Source organism: Homo sapiens, chromosome 14, assembly GCF_000001405.40.
Source record: "Homo sapiens chromosome 14, GRCh38.p14 Primary Assembly".
Classification (NCBI taxonomy): domain Eukaryota; kingdom Metazoa; phylum Chordata; class Mammalia; order Primates; family Hominidae; genus Homo; species Homo sapiens.
The window spans coordinates 80,752,253-80,770,530 of record NC_000014.9 but is presented as its reverse complement, the minus strand read 5'-3'; the positions used below and the strand labels follow the sequence as shown (position 1 = coordinate 80,770,530).

General features: G+C 35.7%; 1 protein-coding gene across 16 annotated transcripts in view, besides 1 other annotated feature; it reads left to right on the top strand.

Moving 5' to 3' along the window:
- Positions 1 to 18,278, top strand: part of CEP128 (centrosomal protein 128) — a 482,534-nt gene that overhangs the window by 188,972 nt on the left and 275,284 nt on the right. For all 16 annotated transcript variants that reach the window (NR_157142.2, XM_047431023.1, XM_011536493.3 and 13 more), the window contains 2 exons: positions 8,918 to 9,094; positions 13,580 to 13,639. Coding sequence is in view for 15 of the 16 variants with exons in the window: in XM_047431023.1 (XP_047286979.1) it covers positions 8,918 to 9,094; positions 13,580 to 13,639 (237 nt within the window). In the remaining variant the exon portion in view is untranslated. The remainder of the gene's footprint in view (positions 1 to 8,917; positions 9,095 to 13,579; positions 13,640 to 18,278) is intronic.
- Positions 6,584 to 6,753: an enhancer, noted in NCBI's record as "experimental_37742 CRE fragment used in MPRA reporter constructs". NCBI's record gives its function as "activates a minimal promoter by MPRAs in K562 erythroleukemia cells, with activity observed for the introgressed 14:81230207 variant allele {active_cell/tissue: K562}" and the evidence as "EXISTENCE:reporter gene assay evidence [ECO:0000049][PMID:34662402]".

Genomic DNA, 18,278 nt, shown 5'->3' with positions numbered 1-18,278 from the left:
GTACTCCTTGACTTTTACAGAGAATAGGCTGAAATAACAGAGTGCTTCCCATTTATGAAATGTAATGTCAGATGTTAAGAAAACAGTATAGAATGCAAAAATGAAGTGAATATACAATGGGAAGGGAGAGGATGCATTTATATGTGCAGCTGTGGCAAAGAGAAGGGAAAAAAATAAAGGTGCATAGAAGTACTTCTGGTTTCTACTTTCTGAATTAGAACACAGCTATGATGAAGCCGTTTTGAAATTACTCAATTGGCAATGACTTTCCTACCAACTATTTACAATCAAAGAGGTTGATTTTAAGTGAATTACAGGAGTAAAGTCAAAGTTTACCAGTTGTACCCACTCCTGACTTGGACTTGATTGAGAGGCCTGCTATTAAATCCTTAACTCACTGAGGGATTGATAACTACAAGGGTCTAGAGGAGAAGGCAAACATGTTCTGCACTTTCCATTAAAATCCTTTACTATTAGCTTGATTTCATTTACTTCCACAGTTGTGAGTGATCCCTGTAGTGTGGGTATCAGGCTAAATAATGGTGTATACCATTGGTTGAGGTGAAAAAAGCCGATGGAATAGGCAACATGAAAGTTCTGTATCATATCTGTTTCAGTTAAGCAATCTTAGCTGGCTTTGGTTGACCCTAAAAGGAAACATAAAGTGAATGTCTGGGTTTGTTTTCATTGAGTTTTTTTTTCATCAGCATTTAAATTGTTTATTGACTCAATTCATTTTGTTGTTTAATGTTGAACAAGCAATAATCAATAAATTTTAGGAAAAACACCTAAGAGGTGCTTGTTATATACAGGTTATTTTATTTGGACTTTCATTTTTAAGTTTAAAAAATATTCTTTCATAAGAAAAGTATTAATGATAGACTGGATTAAGAAAATGTGGCACATATACACCATGGAATACTATGCAGCCGTAAAAAAGGATGAGTTCATGTCCTTTGTAGGGACATGGATGAAGCTGGAAACCATCATTCTCAGTAAACTATTGCAAGGACAAAAAATCAAACACCGCATGTTCTCACTCATAGGTGGGAACTGAACAATGGGAACGTCACACACCGGGGCCTGTCGTGGGGCGGGGGGAGTGGGGAGGGATAGCATTAGGAGATATACCTAATGTAAATGACGAGTTAATGGGTACATCACACCAACATGGCACATGTATACATATGTAACAAACCTGCACGTTGTGCACATGTACCCTAGAACTTAAAGTATAATTAAAAAAAAAAACAACTCAGAATAAAATTCAGTATCCTTTAAGAAAAAAAAAAAGAGGAAGAAATCTTGATGGTTATTAAAGACACTGTAACCTTATAAACATTTCTCTCAATATGAATGATAATTTTTTTCTTTTGAAAATTAAACAATGTTCGTTCCAAATGCATAATTTGAAACTCTAGTTGTTTGTTCCCTTGTCCATATTTCATTTCAGAAATAGAAATGCATCAAAATTGGCTGATTTTTAAATTATGGATGTTATTTCTATTTCCAGGCATTTGTCTTGAGAGAAATATGTAATAAGAATAAAACTTAATGAATGCATAAAGTATCATTTAGAAGGTATTTGTTATTTCAACTTTGAATATTAATTTCTAGGAACGTATCCAATACATATCCTAACACGTTCTGATTATGCTGTTCATCGTCTTTGTATTGCTCAATACTTTCCTAGAAAAAGACAATGAAAAGCCTGAGGCAGAATGATTTCTTTAAATGTGGTTAAAAGTTTGAATTAGAATTTCCATTTTTTTGATTCTGGTTTATGGAAACAAACTTTTGTAAGCCTGCCTAAGACCAGGTTATAGATTGGAAAGTCATTCACACCCAAGTTTTAACCTGCATCAAATCTTAAAGCCAGTGTTTTGATATGCCATCCCGTTTTTCTATTAGCTCCATTGTTTTACTAAGGCTCTTGCATACTCTTAACGCTATTAATCATAACTTCTTCCCCTCTTTTGGAGGAAATAGTATAAAGCAATCCTCTACTTATCAGAGGAGAAGGAAGACAGTGTATCTAACCCACAAAATGGTAGCATTTTTGTTTTAGAAACCAATCTTAGAGTAGAAATCATAGTGTTCCTTTGCTTGTTAAATACATGTAAAGAATCAGCTCATTCTCTCACACATGGACCCATATTTAGTTCATCAGCTGATCTTATTGACTCTACTTTAAAATTGATTCTGCATCTGAATACTTCTTACCACTTCCAGGGCTCTCACTATTGTGATATCGTCTTGTCTTGATAGTTACAATAGCCTCGCCACTGACAAGGTGATTGTCCTCAATGAATTAAATAATTAACTGTGGCAACAAAAGAGAACTAACTTACTGTAGCACGAGAAGTTATTTGAGTTCAGAGATTAAAATTTTTTTCTTGTTTATAATTTTTAAAAATTGTTGTATTGGTTGTATGCTTGACACATTTAATGTGCTCAAAAATGCTTGTCAATGAGTAGAACATAAAAGCTTATTTATGTTTTAGCAAGATTTATGAAATGACTGCTATGTGAGACAGTCTAGTAGGGGCTGGGATATGTAAATAAAGAAGGATAAGATCTTCACATTAGAGGTACTCACAGTCTGATGAGGAGACAGACATAGAAGACACAGAGTAGTGAGTGGCAGAGCAGAAATTTAAATTTTAGAGGTTATAGATTGCAAAGCCTGTCATACCTAAGTTTTAACCTGCATCAAATCATATGGCCAGTGTTCCCATTTGCCATTCCTTTTTTCTATTAGCTCTATTGTTTTACTAAGGCTCTCACATGCTCTTAATGCACTATTAATCATAACTTCTTGTGGTAGCACAGAGAAGGGGCACCTAATATTCCTGTGCAAGAACTCAGGTAATCTTTCACTGTTCTAACAACCATGTGGGTGAGGAAGGAGGGGTGTGTTATTGGACTTTTATAATGAGTTAGGAATTCACCTTCCTTTTCCTGTATATTCTTGAGAAGAGTTGGTTTCCCAGAGGGCAAGTGATATATGTAGGGTAAATCCACGGAGATTTTTCAAACTCATCTGAACTCTTGATTTTAGAGTTATTTTTGCTTTGTCTTGTTTATTTTTTGATATCAGTCTAGATATTTCATATATAGACAAGTTTTGAGTTTAAGGAGCTCTCCATTACGTAAAAATCTAGTTTTGAGAAATAAGCTTGAAAAAAGTGGTTATGATGTGACCAGCACTTGATGTGTTATTTTTTCTTTTTTGGCCATTTTGTAAGACAGTTGAAACTGCTGTGTGGTAATTTTCCAGCTTAAATTATTTCCAAGTTTCCTATAGTATCCATCGCAGATATCTTCTCATTTAGTTGCCCTTGTAGTTTCTGCCCTGGTTGACATTTTATGTTGTATCCTAACTTCTTTGCAGCTGAGTCAACTGTTGGTATAAAAATGTGGGCCTTCTTTAGAGAGTCAGATAAATGGTTTCCAGACAGATCCAATTTTTGTTCAGGATAGTTTCATAATTTGCCTTGTAATGCTAGTGTCCTGGATTTAAAGCTTAGGCATAACAGTTTTATCTTGAGTTATGAAAATATTCTTCCTCAAAACTTTTTAGGGGATGTGTGCATGTCAGTAGGTTCAACAAGCTGTATTTCCAGTAACTTTGCTTAAATTGCATTCGTTTTTATTTCAGCCTTTAATATTATTTGATTTCTCTCTTTCTCTACCTTTTATCCTATCTCCCCCTACCCTTTGTTGACGTATGTAAAGATGGCCTTGGGACTGAAATATTGTCACATTTGCTGACTCAAGTTAGTTTTCAGTGAAGGAAAACCATTAATTACCTTTGTAAATTAATGATTTATTTAGTCATGTCAGTGTACTTTATTTAACGTAATATTTCTGTTTAAGGTGTTTGATGAACTGTTTTTACTTCATGTAATAGCCATATTCTAAATAAAGTGGCATTTCTGGAACTCTTAAGACATTGAAGGAATCTCATAACCTTTTACCAAAGAGATACTATTTTGGACATGCTCTTGTGTTATTGAAGCTTTTATATTTCTGATAAGATCTATCTCCTTATAATCTTTAGAGCCTCTGGGAAAGTGAATGCTCTGAGTTGTAAAGAGCATGCTGAAACATAAATCTATAATTACAACAGCATTTCTTATCTTTTGAATTATAGGACAGTTCATCAAACCAGTTAACAGAATGTGTGTGTGTGTTTATCATGAGATTGTCAGCAGTTTTATTTTACGTTTTCTTTATACTTAAGTGTCAACAATATGAGCCTTTCTTGTCCTAAAATAGAAGCTTCATAAAACCTTTCCTGTCTTGACGATGGAACTATACCTTGTTCAGTGTGTGATTAGCACACTTTTGAAAATTGGACTAAAGCAGATTTTATGTGTACACAGGTACTTCTTCAGCGCAGATGGATAGCCCCTTTAAAAGTTTGGGATATTATGCATGTTCAGTGTGCTTTTGATTTTGTGGTCTATTCTGAATATGTCAATATGTCATATATTTTCATTTATGATAAGGCTCATTCAGAATTTAATTTTTGATTTCTCCTTTCTACTTTAGGACATTAGTCCTCACATAACTTGCTGAAAACTTTTCTGAATTTTTCACATTGTTTTTCTAAATTCTAATGTTAAGGCCTCAGCCTTTCTAGCATTTTAAGAGAGAAGACTAGTCAGGGGATCAGGTTATGGGGTTGTATTTAATAGGTTCTTTCACTTTAGTCAAGTTATGTAGTCTGTCTGCGCTTTGGTTACCTAAAATGTAAAATTAGGGGTTGGTTTATTCTCTAGGGTTCTTTCTCAAACTCAGCCATTATCTAGGATATCTTTCTTCTTGGATCTCATAGACTGCTGTAGTTAGCTTCATCTGCCTTCCTCCCTACCCTCCAAAAGAAGTTACCTACATTCCCTAGCTCCAGGCATCTGTGTCCTTTCACCCTGAAACATTGAAGTTAGATTGTGTCTTCCATATTTTGAATCATTCTCTAATATACCACATTTTGCCTCTGGTTCTCTAGAAATTTGGTAACTTTTTGTTAATCTTGTAGAATCAGGGGATATTGCCCCCTCTGAATTGACTGAAAGACCAGGGAATAGCCTTAATAGTGCCTAAATATTATCATCTGCCGTTACTTATTTGAATGCCTCTAAATCTAACAGGATACTTGGATTAACTTCAGCCAATTTCCAGCCCCAACCCTCCCCCAGAATTAGCTGTGCTTGCTTAGTCAGCACATCTATTTCTAAAACATGAAACTGCGAGAAAGCGCTACTTCATTGGGTACCATAATTAGTGTTCAAATAAATATGCCCAAACCAGATGAATGGGACAAAAGTAATGACATTTCATGCAAATGTTTGTTGACTCTATGAGAGTAGGAGCCTGCCTGTCTGTGTCGTTTACTCTATCTCCACACTCGATCTTAGCCAGAAGGCCGAGAAGCAATCACTTACTCCATCTTTAGTGGACATGAGAATGTCTTGTCTAGAATAGGACTTAGGTAAATATTTGTTGGATGAGGGGGATGAATGAATGAAAGAATGAAATTATAACTGCTGAAGTATGGTGTGGAAGAGCTTACTTAACTCTTGGATTTAGGATCTTGGAGTACATGCAGACAATGGAGACCACTATGTGTCTGAAACCTAATCAAATAAAAAACAGGGGAAAGGAACAGAAATCTTTACCTGGAAGTTTAGAAGCCTTAGTGGGGGTGAAGGATTTGTTTGTTTAGTTTAATTGTTGCATATAGCTTGGACACTGATGGAGAGAGTTTACAGCTTTGTCAGGTACTCTGTTCCTTGACACTTGTGTTCATTTAGTGGTTGGATGACTCAACTGTCAAAAATGCCAAATAAGGGAATCCTGAAGGAGCAAGTAGTTGAATTTACTGATCTTTAAGATCCATGTGAGCCCATAGTCCTACAGCTTTTACTTCAAAGAGAGCTTGGACATAGCATACAACTGTCCCACAGAGGATAGTGAAGTGGATAATGAAATTTTCTTTTTTTTTTTTCTTTTTTTTTTTGAGACGGAGTCTCGCTCTGTCGCCCAGGCCGGACTGCGGACTGCAGTGGCGCAATCTCGGCTCACTGCAAGCTCTGCTTCCCGGGTTCACGCCATTCTCCTGCCTCAGCCTCCCGAGTAGCTGGGACTACAGGCGCCTGCCACCGCGCCCGGCTAATTTTTTTGTATTTTTAGTAGAGACGGGGTTTCACCTTGTTAGCCAGGATGGTCTCGATCTCCTGACCTCATGATCCACCCGCCTCGGCCTCCCAAAGTGCTGGGATTACAGGCGTGAGCCACCGCGCCCGGCCGGATAATGAAATTTTCTATGTTTTCTAAAGAGACCGAACTTATAGAGATTTTTCTGACAATATCAACATTCTCAAGAATATCAAAAGATTGAAGTAGTTTTGTCTTCTTATTAATAAGAGACAAGTAATGGAGACCACAGAAAAGTAGTAGTGGATGAAAGAGAGTTGGCTTTGAGGGAAGTGAGAAAAGAAAGATCAATTATAACATTATTTTGAATTGCTTAGATGTAAAATATGGGCAGTCTTCTAATACATCGGTAGTCTCTGATAGGGTATTTATTTTCTTTATTACTATCAGACCATGAAAATACTGCACCATCAGGAGGCCTTATGTACGTGTGGGGAGAAACCTCCTAGGACACCTCAGTAGCCTCCAAGGTTATAAGCTCTGCATGGTAATTGATGAAATCATCTTTCACATATTGAATTTGTGTCTTCAAAAAATGTTTAAATCATTTATTCAGCAAAGTGGAGGAGTTTAAAGATGATAATAAACTTGTTTTGTGGACTCCTGAAATTAACAGTTTATTTGGGGAGATAGGTTCACAAGCAAATAATTATATTACAATTTGAAAAAAATTAAAAAATTATGATATACCTAATATACTATGGGAATGATTTGCTTCAGGAGTTCAGGAAGAAAGAATGCAGCATCTTAAAGGATAAACTTTGAAGGATAAGAAGGTATAGGTGGTAGATACACAGGAACAGTAGGGAGGCAAATATCACCTAGAGACTTAGTAATAATGTTGCTTTCTAATGAGTAAATGATACAATTATCAAATACTGTTCAGAGCTGGGATGTTAATTTTTCAGAAAACTCCTAGATATGAGCAAGACTTGGGAAAATATTAATCAATCTAAAGAAATGATGTATTAATTGGTAGGGAGAGTTTGGACAGAAACTCAATGTGGAAAAACAAGAAAGTTAGGGAGATACACCTCAGCACCCTCCATGCAAATACTACCTAGAAGAATGAAACTCCTGTTATTGTGGTTTGTAAATTCCTGATGTGTGGTGAACATGCTGGACTTTCATTAGCCGGATGCCATTTGAACATTGTTTCATAAAACAAACTCCCCTTGCTCTAATTTCCTATTCGTTAACCTATAGTCTGATTATAGTTTGCCTTCCCATCTAGATCTGTCTATAGGGAGAAAATGTACTGGTTATGCTGACATGGACATTCTGATTCATATGGTAGTTATGAGTCTCATCGTAAATGAATGTAGTTAATTGAGTGGCTTTCTAGTTCATACACATTAATCTCTTGTGAGCTTAATGTTACTCTGCTGCTGAAAGTACCTCTCTGAGTACCAAAAAGAAATTCCAGTTCCTAGGTTTACAAAGCTGAGATCCAGACCCAGATGATGGACTAAGATGAACTCCTGGAGATAAATGTCTCTTGGCTACCAGCCCCATTTTGAAGTAGCACAACTTCAAGCAGAGTTGTACAAGTCAGATGTGGTCTGGGGAGACATATGTAGGCAGATTTAAGATGCTGTAAGTAATCAAATTCCAGCAGAGTGGAAAGGAGGAAGATGAGGCATGAGAGAAGTACAGAAGATAGATTATGAAAGGGTCTGTCTTTCCTGGCAGAGGATGTTTCATTTGTTTTTAAAGTAAGTTGAATTGAAAGGAAATATCATTTATGTTTCTTTTAGTAAAATATCATTCTAGCTTTCATGATTAATTCTTAATGAGTGGATCTCCTTGTTATTTTTTTTCAGTTCAGGTTGGGTTTGTGGCTCACATAATTTTCCTGGTTTTGTTGTATTTAGCAGGCCAGTTGAAGATGGTTAGGTTACAGTGTGATGACTGAAGGTGTCATAGCTAGCCATCATGGATTTGGTCCACCATTTAGACATACAATTCTAGTGATTTTTTTATTTTATTACAAGCCCTATGCATTTGGAATTTCTCTAGTAATGTAACTGTATAATCATAATGATTTAGAATTATTTTTGCCTAGAGTGGGTCCCCAAGTCCTTGTAATCTCTGAAAGGGCTCCCTTTTCTTTAAGTATATAATGACAAGATGAAAAGTACCTTCATCTTTCTTTTATCAAATTTTCACGACTCAAAAGCATTTATGTGGTAAATGCAATTGCATTTGAAACTTAGAATTTTTCTAAAGCTATGTTTTGGTGAGATAAAGGTGGTAACACTTATTTTTTTCCTCAAATGAAGAAACTAGCATCATATTTAGCAGTTTATATTTTCTGGTGTTTTACTAATGTTCAGTGAAAGCTTGAAGTCAGTGTCTGACATCATCTTTTACTCTCATTCATTACTGAGAATATATTATTAAAATGGGAAAAGGTTCTTTTTTCTACTTCTTTTTTTCTTTTGGTTAGGGACTTATTATAATTTTGTTTGCCAGATATCTTCTCACCAGTTCCCAAACTGCCCTACGATGGAACTCTATAATTTTACCTCAGTTAATGAGTAGATTAAAGTGTTTTTATTTTGGTAAAGTAAGGGGACTGATGGAATCAGATTTCTTTTCAAATCCACTTCTAGTTGGTTGAACAGATATTACAAGTATTTTCTTGCCTCCACTTAATAGTAATCACCTTGTTTAATTTCTTTCAATGCCTTAGGAAAAACATATAAGCATTGAAGAGGAGCACTTAAGGAGGATGGAAGAGGCCAGATTGCAGCTCAAGGATCAACTTCTTTGCTTGGAGACTGAACAGGAATCCATTCTTGGTGTGATAGGAAAGGAAATTGATGCAGCTTGTAAAACATTCTCCAAGGACTCAGTGGAGAAATTAAAAGTAATTATGAATTCTCATTGCACCTTATATTTTCAGTTAGTTTCCTAATATATAATTGTAATAGGATTTTCATGTGTGGTAGTCAGATTATTATTATGGAAAATTTTATAAAACAAAATAACATTTTGCATTTTTTAGAATAAGGCGCTGGATCTATTGCACAGTTGTGGTGAGAGAACGAATGATGTTATTTCATTGAATTGGCTGTGTCTCACTCTGTAAAAAAAAAAAAAAAGAAAAATCTTATAAGAGAGGTAGCCCTTGGAGTCAAGAGGCCTGGAATTTGAGTTTTCACTATCGCAGGCTATTTTTGTTGTTGTTGGTATATTACCGGCTAACATCTATTGAGTACTATAGTATAGGTACTGTAGTATGCATGGTGCTTTAGTCTCTCCATTATCCTCTGAAACAACCCTATCTTTTAGTTACTCTGATTAAACCCACTTAAGAGAAAGGGAGGTTTAGACGGTTTAAGTAACTTGCCCTTGGCTGTACATCTGGTTAAATGCTAAACTAGGGCTTCAAACCTATGGAGTCTAACTCTGGAACCTAAATTAATAACCACTATGTTATCCGCCTTCCCTGTTTAAACCAGCTGTATTTAATTTAGCTTTTCTATTTTAACAAATGGAATACTGCTACACAATTTAGAGTCATAGTAAAATGATAAATAAACACAGAAGTGATCATGGATGCTCTGAATTCCTTGCAGGTAAGCACTTCTGTCAGCTCTAGGTTTTGCTGCTATTTTACATACAGAGAACATTACATTGTTTTGATATGTGTAGCCATAATACATTACAGTTTAGCATCATTTACCCCTCTGTTTACTGCATTTGGTGATATGATGGCATTCACATTGTGATATTATGCTGAAATGCTTTTTATTTTTCAGCAGTTTCTACTATTGATTTTGACATTTATTAGTCTTTTTCCTCTTCTAGAATGACCTTCCTTTCTCATACTACTATGTTCCCCTCTTTTTTCTTGCTCTTTCTCTCTGCCTTTTTTTCTATCTTAAATTGTGTTTAAAGGAAAATATAACTAATTCTCTTGCAGTCAAGACATTTTTAGAATTTGTCTTTAATGGAAATATTTTAACTAATAGAATTTGGTAGAGTTGATGGAATTTTTACAATATGTATTCCCATTTACAATTTTTTTTTAAGTTCAAGTGTTACTTTGAAAAGACTATGAGTCTAATATGAGAAGTAATTGGCTTTAGGGGGAAAACTAACTCTTTTAGAACTATTGTAGGGCCTATGATAATTCTAACTTTTTTTTTTTCCTAATGCTGCTTTTTAAATTTAAGACTTGTCATATTTGCGTTTATTTAATGAATGTGGAGCCTTGAAAATCCTAATTTTTATCTAGAAGAAGTATATATTAGCAATGCAATATTTATTCTATATTTAAATATTTGTAACAGCATGGTTTGTTTTCAGTCATGTAGGAAGGTAAAATGGAAACATTTGGATCATGTTGTAAGATATATATATGTATACACACACACACACACACACACACACCTATATATATGCACTCACATATGTGCATATATATACACAGTTTGTTATGGGCAATTGCAGGCAAATACATGATGTGCAGATAGCAGATTGCTTAAATATTTTATTTCTTTATGAGTCACAAATTATCCTTCCAATATATTCCAAGAAGCATCCAATTTTTTATAGGCTTTCAGACATGGAGTGACTGTGGTAATGGGTTTTACACTTCTTCCCCTAGAGAAAGACTAATTCAATCCAAGTCTTGGGTGGAAAATAGATCTAAAAGAAAGGAAATTCTATTAATTTTTTAAGAGTCTACATTTTTTTCATTGTGGGCCTCTTTTCATTAGTAACTTCTGTTGTTTTATTGCTGTAAACCTGGGAAAGAAAAATGGAATGCTCAAGAACATAGCACTCAAGAAACATGCTTAAGAAACCACCCAGGGGTGTGGTAAAGATAAAATTTATGTTTGTTTTGTAGTTTATAGTTCTGAGAGAGTGTGGAAGAATCATGTAAAATGTTTTCAAAAAAGGAATAATTCCACTTAGTCATTTATTGATTCTTGAAATATTGCTGATGAGATTTTCAGCCATTGTATGTAAAGAGTAACAGTGCTATGGAATAGATTAGAAAATAGATATGTAATAAATGAGTTTGAGAAAAGTCCTGGGAATGTTGATGTTATTTTTAGTTACATTTTTCTTTTTCAAGTCACTGTATTTGTTACTTATTCCACTTTAGTTAATGTATGTGTTTGACAATGAAGGACAGACGTACACTACAATTGTAAAACAATTAGGAAAGTGTCTGAATTAAGATGTATCATTCTCACAGGCCAGTTTTTGATAATCCAAGAGCTCAAGTAAATAGATTAGTTCTGCACTGTACTTATTTTAGTCTCTCTCTTTCCATAACACTTGGTCTGAGTATTCATTCAGTTTTAGAGCATGAAGACGATGGGCTTTGGATCAAGACAGGTATAGGTTCATATTGGAAGTCATTGCAAATTTCTAATATATGACCTTGGATAAGTTATGTAAGCTCTTTCTTCTCTAAGAGTTCATGTCCCCAGTTATAAGTTGGCTCATTGAGAAGATAAAGTGAGGTAAGATATAGAAGGTGCTATTATAGGGTCAAATATCTTGCGCTTAGTGGATACTCAAGTAATGTTACCTATCATTATTTTGTATTGCCTCTTTTAGTAACATGTTCACAAATACATATGGCTTCTCTTTCTTTATATTTTTAATGACAAATGCCTGTTATAGTGCTTTTTTCATAATAGGCCTTGAAGCCTATTTATTAATAGTGACATCTTGATATGCAGTAGCAGTGGTTTATTGTGTTCTCTGTCCCAGACACTGTGCTGACACCGTTCGTTAAATGGTTTTTTTTTTTTTTTTTTGAGACAAAGTCTCTCTCTTGTCCCCCAGACTGGAGTGCAATGGCACGATCTCTGCTCACTGCAACCTCCGCGTCCTGGGTTCAAGCAATTCTCTTGCCTCAGCCTCCCGAGTAGCTGGGATTACAGGCATGCGCCACCACGCCCGGCTAATTTTTGTATTTTTAGTAGAGACAGAGTTTCACCATGTTGGCCAGGCTGGTCTTGTACTCCTGACCTCAGGTGATCCACCAGCCTCGGCCTCCCAAAGTGCTGGGATTACAGGCGTGAGCCACCATGCCTGGCAGGTTAAGGCTATCTTCTTAAACATGTAGCTATAGGTAAATCTGTAAAGCAAATAATAAAATGTGAACATTACTTGTACTTATACCCAATTATCTTATACTTTGATATTAAACATTAATATCTTTATTAGGCCACAGAAGATTTAATTGACATGTATGACATTCATGAATGAAAAAGAATAATAAAAGTGTATTCTAATCAATGACAAATGGATGTATGCAAATATTCAGCAATGTAGTAGAGAACTGGAAGAGGAAGGAAATACTGTGAACTCGGGTGATTAGGGAAAATTTCCTTGAAAAGGCAGGGAGGATATGAGAATTGGGTGAGATTTAGATAGAAAGGTGGATGAGAGAAAATTGGATATAAGAATACAATATTCACATATGTGATATGTGGTGGGCACTCATTATGCTTTCAGCATTTGTCTAAATGAGTTAACTAATGATATTCCTGACAAAGAAGCAATGTGCACACAGCTCAGGAGGTATGGAGGTATTTGAGAATAGGAATAGACTTCTCCTTGTAGAGAGAGAGGATATTTTTAAACAGGCAAATTTGAGAAAGAGGTCTTCAAAAATATTATTTGTAGCACAGAGTTCAACAAAAGTACAAATTGAGAAAAAACTTTTGTATTTACAATTATAAAGTCATTGCCAACTTTGAATACAGTTTTACTTTAGTAATATGACAAAACCAGATGCAAGGGATTTTATAAATGAGTTGGCGTGAAGGAAGTCAAAGCAGCTAGCGCAGATGAACTATTGAAATACAAGGCAATGTTTGCGTGAAGTCATGTCGATGAGTTTGTGTCTATTGACAATCATTGATAAGACAAAATGGCCCTTTTACTATTAAATTAAAGAAGGATAAATGAGAGAGAATTGTTTCCATGTAATCACATATAACCCTCTTTGAAGTACATTATGTAGAACACGACTGAGGAGAGGAAACAAACAGAAATGAAATAAACTGACTTTAATTGAAGCTGTTTGCCATATGGAACTCCACAGAATCAGCCTCCATATATCCTAGCAATGATAGCACTTGATAGTTGATTTTTCCATCAAAATATTTATTGCCAATACATAAATAAATGAATACATACATAAAAAGGCATATAAATGAATGCTAGTTTGGAACTGGTTGAGTATTTGGGGCAACAATTTTTCTTTTTAAATCCTTAAATTGGGGAACTAAACTTTTGGATACTGTGGTGAAGAATTTCATTTATATATGTTTATGTCAGAGAAAAATGTATTTCTAATCGACTGTTTTCTCTTTTGTAGGTTTTTTCATCTGGTCCTGATATACATTATGACCCACATCGCTGGTTAGCAGAAAGCAAGGTAATTAATCTTTAAATCCTAAAGTTATTGTAATATTTATGATCTTTAAGCCATCCTATTTGGTTTAGCTATTTATTTTGTTATGTAACTGAACATATGAAGCTATAATGCTTAATTGCAGGGGAAGATATCACTGCAGTCCACTTAGGGAATCTCCATGTTTCTTATTTTAACATTTTAAAGTTAAATATGTAGGCCTAGAAAGAGAGAATAAAGGAAAGTAAAACTGTTGAAATATTAAGAACCAGATTATAGATATATGTGAACATTGACAAAGGAACACAGAAGAAGGAAGAGCTAATTCTATTGTTTGTGCTGGGAGAAAGGGAGGGTATGATGCTACCAGCATGTCATAGACAGCTTCTGGAAAAAAGCAATATTTAAACTTGGCCTTGCAAAAATATGTAGTTCTCCAGTTAGTTAGTTTTGGGTAGAACAATGACATGAAGATGAGAATATTTGAGTAACCACAGATAATGCCCTGAGATTGGTGAGTAAGACATGGGTGGGAGGTGATGGAAAGATAAAGTTTACCTTTGAAGGCCAACTATGCATTAGAGAAGCCTCCTAAAACAAAGCATTCTTAACAAGAAAATGAAAGTATAGTGATTGAGCATTAGACTTTAACAACAGTGAACCTGTGCATTTCTAGCCATTTTTGATAGAAACAAATACAAATTTGTATTTATGCCACCTGAATAGGGAATTTAGAATACACGTTTTGCTGTCTCAGAATGTTTTGGCCAGAAATTTCTGTTGTGCATTAATATTGCGTTTCTCATTTTTCTTTTCCTCAGCTTTACAATTCTGACAACAAGAGCAATGTACTTAGAATTTTCTTTCAAGTTAAAATCTTTATCATTTCTGAACAGAAAGCTTTCACTGCAGTAGTTCAGTTAAACTATGAGAGCCACAGATGATTCTTAATCATAGCTCTTTAATTTGGGAGCTTGTGAGCAGTTTTCCCTTATCATTTAATGGGATTGAACTTCTGATCAGACCCCTTCTATTACTGCATGAGACAACTGTTCCTTCTACAGTGTAAACGGGTTGTGATGAAAAATACCACACTGACCAACTGACTAAGGGGGAATTGAATCTATTTGCTAGAAAGATGGGTTAGGTTATTGATGGGCTACAGTACTATAATTCCCATGAACTATGACTGGACAGCTCTATAAGTATTGAAGATAAGATCTGAAATCAGAGGACAAAAAACTATATGGAAAGTAGAATTGCTCTTCAGATAGTCCATTCTGACGTCTTGCAGTATTAGAAGGACCTCTGAGGGCATTCAGTAATTGTTTTCATAAATCTACCAAATGAATTTGTTCTGTTAGTGTTAATTCTAGAAAACAAGGATTGGGTGGGGATTGCACACAGTTGCTTTGTTGGCACTGGTGGCATAATAAAATTATGAAGTCCAATTGAGAGTTGGACTATACTTACAGGTAAAATAGCTAATGAATGGTAATAATAAGAAATTACAGGAAGGAAGAGGGTTGAGATGGTCTGTATTAGTCAGGGTTCTCCAGTGGGACAGAACTAATGGAATAGATCTATTTTTAAAGGGGAGTTTATAAGTATTTACTCACATGATCACAAGGTTCCACAATAGGCCATCTGCAGGCTGAGGAGCAAGGAGAGCCAGTCCAAGTTACAAAACTGAAAAACTTGGAGTCCAATGTTCAAGGGCAGGAAGCATCCAGCATGGGAGAAAAATGTAGGCTGGGAGGCTCGACCAGTCTGTCTTTTCATATTTTTCTGCCTCCTTATATTTCAGCCACACTGGCAGCTGATTAGATTGTGCCCACCCAGATTAAGGGTGAGTCTGCCTTTCCCAGCCCACTGACTCAAATGTTAATCTCCTTTGGAAACACCCTCACAGACACACCCAGGCTCAATACTTTGTATCCTTCAGTCTAATCAGTTTGGCACTCAGTGTTAACCATCACATGGTCATTAAGGAATGCCAGGTAAGCAGTTTCCGTAGATGAGGGGTATGTTTTTGTAACAAGTTCTAACAAGGTATGGTAAGGCCATGTTTTCTTCAGCTTAATGGAATTTACTGAGAAACTACTACGTCTCAGATGCTGTTACATGCTGTGGGCATAAAAAATGAACAAGACGTCCGGGCACAGTGGCTCACGCCTGTAATTCCGGCACTTTTGGAGGCCGAGGTAGGGGGAATCATGAGGTCAGGAGATTGAGACCATCCTAGCTAACACGGTGAACCCCTGTCTCTACTAAAAATACAAAAAATTAGCCGGTCATGGTGGCACGTGCCTGCAGTCCCAGCTACTCGGGAGGCTGAGGCAGGCAAATTGCTTGAACCCAGGAGGCAGAGGTTGCAGTGAGCCAAGATTGTGCCACTGCACCCCATTCTGGTGACAGAGCAAGACTCCATCTCAAAAAAAAAAAAAAAAAAAAAAGAACAGGACATTGTCCTGGTCTTTAGGAAAGACAGACAATATGCAGATAATTTCAGTCTTACAAGCAGGAGCTGTAATAGAAGTATGCAGAAGCTGCCATGGAGGCTGATGTCCCAGATGAATATTGAAACCATCCAGGTAAAGAGCAAAGAGCAAACATGCAAAGAACAAAGTTCTAGGAAAGGCACAGAACAGAAGCAATTTGATGAATGCAAAGAACACTCAAATGATTTAGCAATAGTAAAATATGAAGGTATGACACAGAGAATGGCAGGGGATGGGGCTCCAGAGGGATTAAGTTCATCCAGTAGAGCATTGTTTGCCATTTTGAGGATCCTGGATTCAGATCTACATTGCATGGAGAATCACAAAGGAGTTTTGAACAGGAGAATGGCATGCTTATATTTATATTTTGGTAGTGAGGTGAAAGGTAGATTAGAGTTGGTAAGATTTGAGGTAGAGAAACCAGTTAAGAAGCTTTTCCCATACAGTGAGATAGAGTGAGAGTCTGAATTAAGAAAATTGTTCAAACATTCAGAGGAAAGGACAGACTGGAGTAATTTTGTTGACAGCATACACATGATGAGAGATGTTATATTCTAGGGTAATGGAGAAAGAGATTTCCAGGATTTTCTAGCCAAAGTAGTCAGGGATTGGTATCTGAATAAATGATCATGTAGTGTCCCAGATAGGCAAATTCGTGGCAGTATTGAAAGAGTTTCCACCAGAGAGACTGATAGTCAGAAACTTCTATTTGGACAGGAAGGCCCCAAGAGAAGCAAGGACAAAGACACAGATCACAGTTTTTGTTCACATCATGGCAAGAAGTGAGAAGTACCAAAGATATTCACATTGAGACGGTAGGGATAACATGTCAAATCTAGCGCAGGCCAGCACTCTCAGGATGGACTCACATACTAGAGATAATCACTGTTGAGCCCACATGTTACATTATTGTTTTGTGACAGAGAATAAAGAAAAGCTAATATTAGCTGTGCTTCCACATCAGGCAGGATCCTGAGTGCACTGTTGTTCATAGGAGACACATTTAATTCCTATATCCAGTATTTATTCCCTTAAGAGACAGAAAGGTGAATTTATATACTTTTTTGACGGTATAAAGCTATACTTTTTCTTCTTGGCCTTTGCCCCATTGTGTTGAAATTCCCCGTTTGCTTCTGTGTCTTTAGTCTGTAAATGTTACTAGGGAAGATCTGTGCTTATCCTGTTCCTTATTACATCTTTAGCACTTATCACAATGCCTGGCTAAATGTTCAATAAATATTTTTTGAAAGAGTAATTATATTGGGCATGCTGCATTTTCCCAGTTGAGGCACTTCCTTAACTTAAATATTATAGAAAAATAAGCAACAAGCAGATGAGATTTCAGTGAATATATTAATTCCCAAGTACTGGTTTTATTTGGTAATAGCTATAAACTTGGAGATTAGATGGGTAAGAAATACACTTCCAAATTTAGGGAGAAGATTTGTTTATATTGTGTTGTTTGATACCACCCCAAAGAGTTACACTTTTTATAGTATAGTATATTCTAGGCATTGACAAGCATTTGCTTTTCCACACTGTTTAACTGATGTAGCTTTAGAGATCACATAGTTTGACTGCCTCATTTTGTAGATTGAAGAAGCTGAGGCCCAAGATGTTTTTAGTTTTACCTAAGGACATAAAACTAATTAGTTACTGCGAAGGGCTTAGAACTCAGGTCTCGGAACTCTGTTCCATCATTTGTCTCCCTTGGTTGTGTAATCCACACTTGAATATAAACCTTACATTTATGAATATTGTCTTTTTATTGATGTGGATTTTTTAAAACATTGTGTGAGAAGTATTAGGCCCAGTGTACTTAATTCTTATTGATAGATGTGGATAAATATCTAATATTTTATCCTTCTGATATAGAATGGAAAATACTGTACTCAGTATCTTGACTGACTTGTTGGAAATACACTTTAGATTATTTACGTGGAATATATTCAGTTAATTGAGCAAAAGTATATGTATTGCTGTGGAGATTATTTTGCTTTTTTCTTGATTATATTTATAACTTAGTGAAAAGGTAGAGAAAGTATTACTGAAAAAATTACATATTTTTAGGTTGACTTGTATTTGACTTTTGCATTTCTAATTTAATTCTTGTTTAGATGGCTGACCACATTCTAAAAAATTGCCATCCTCTTTATCTCTGT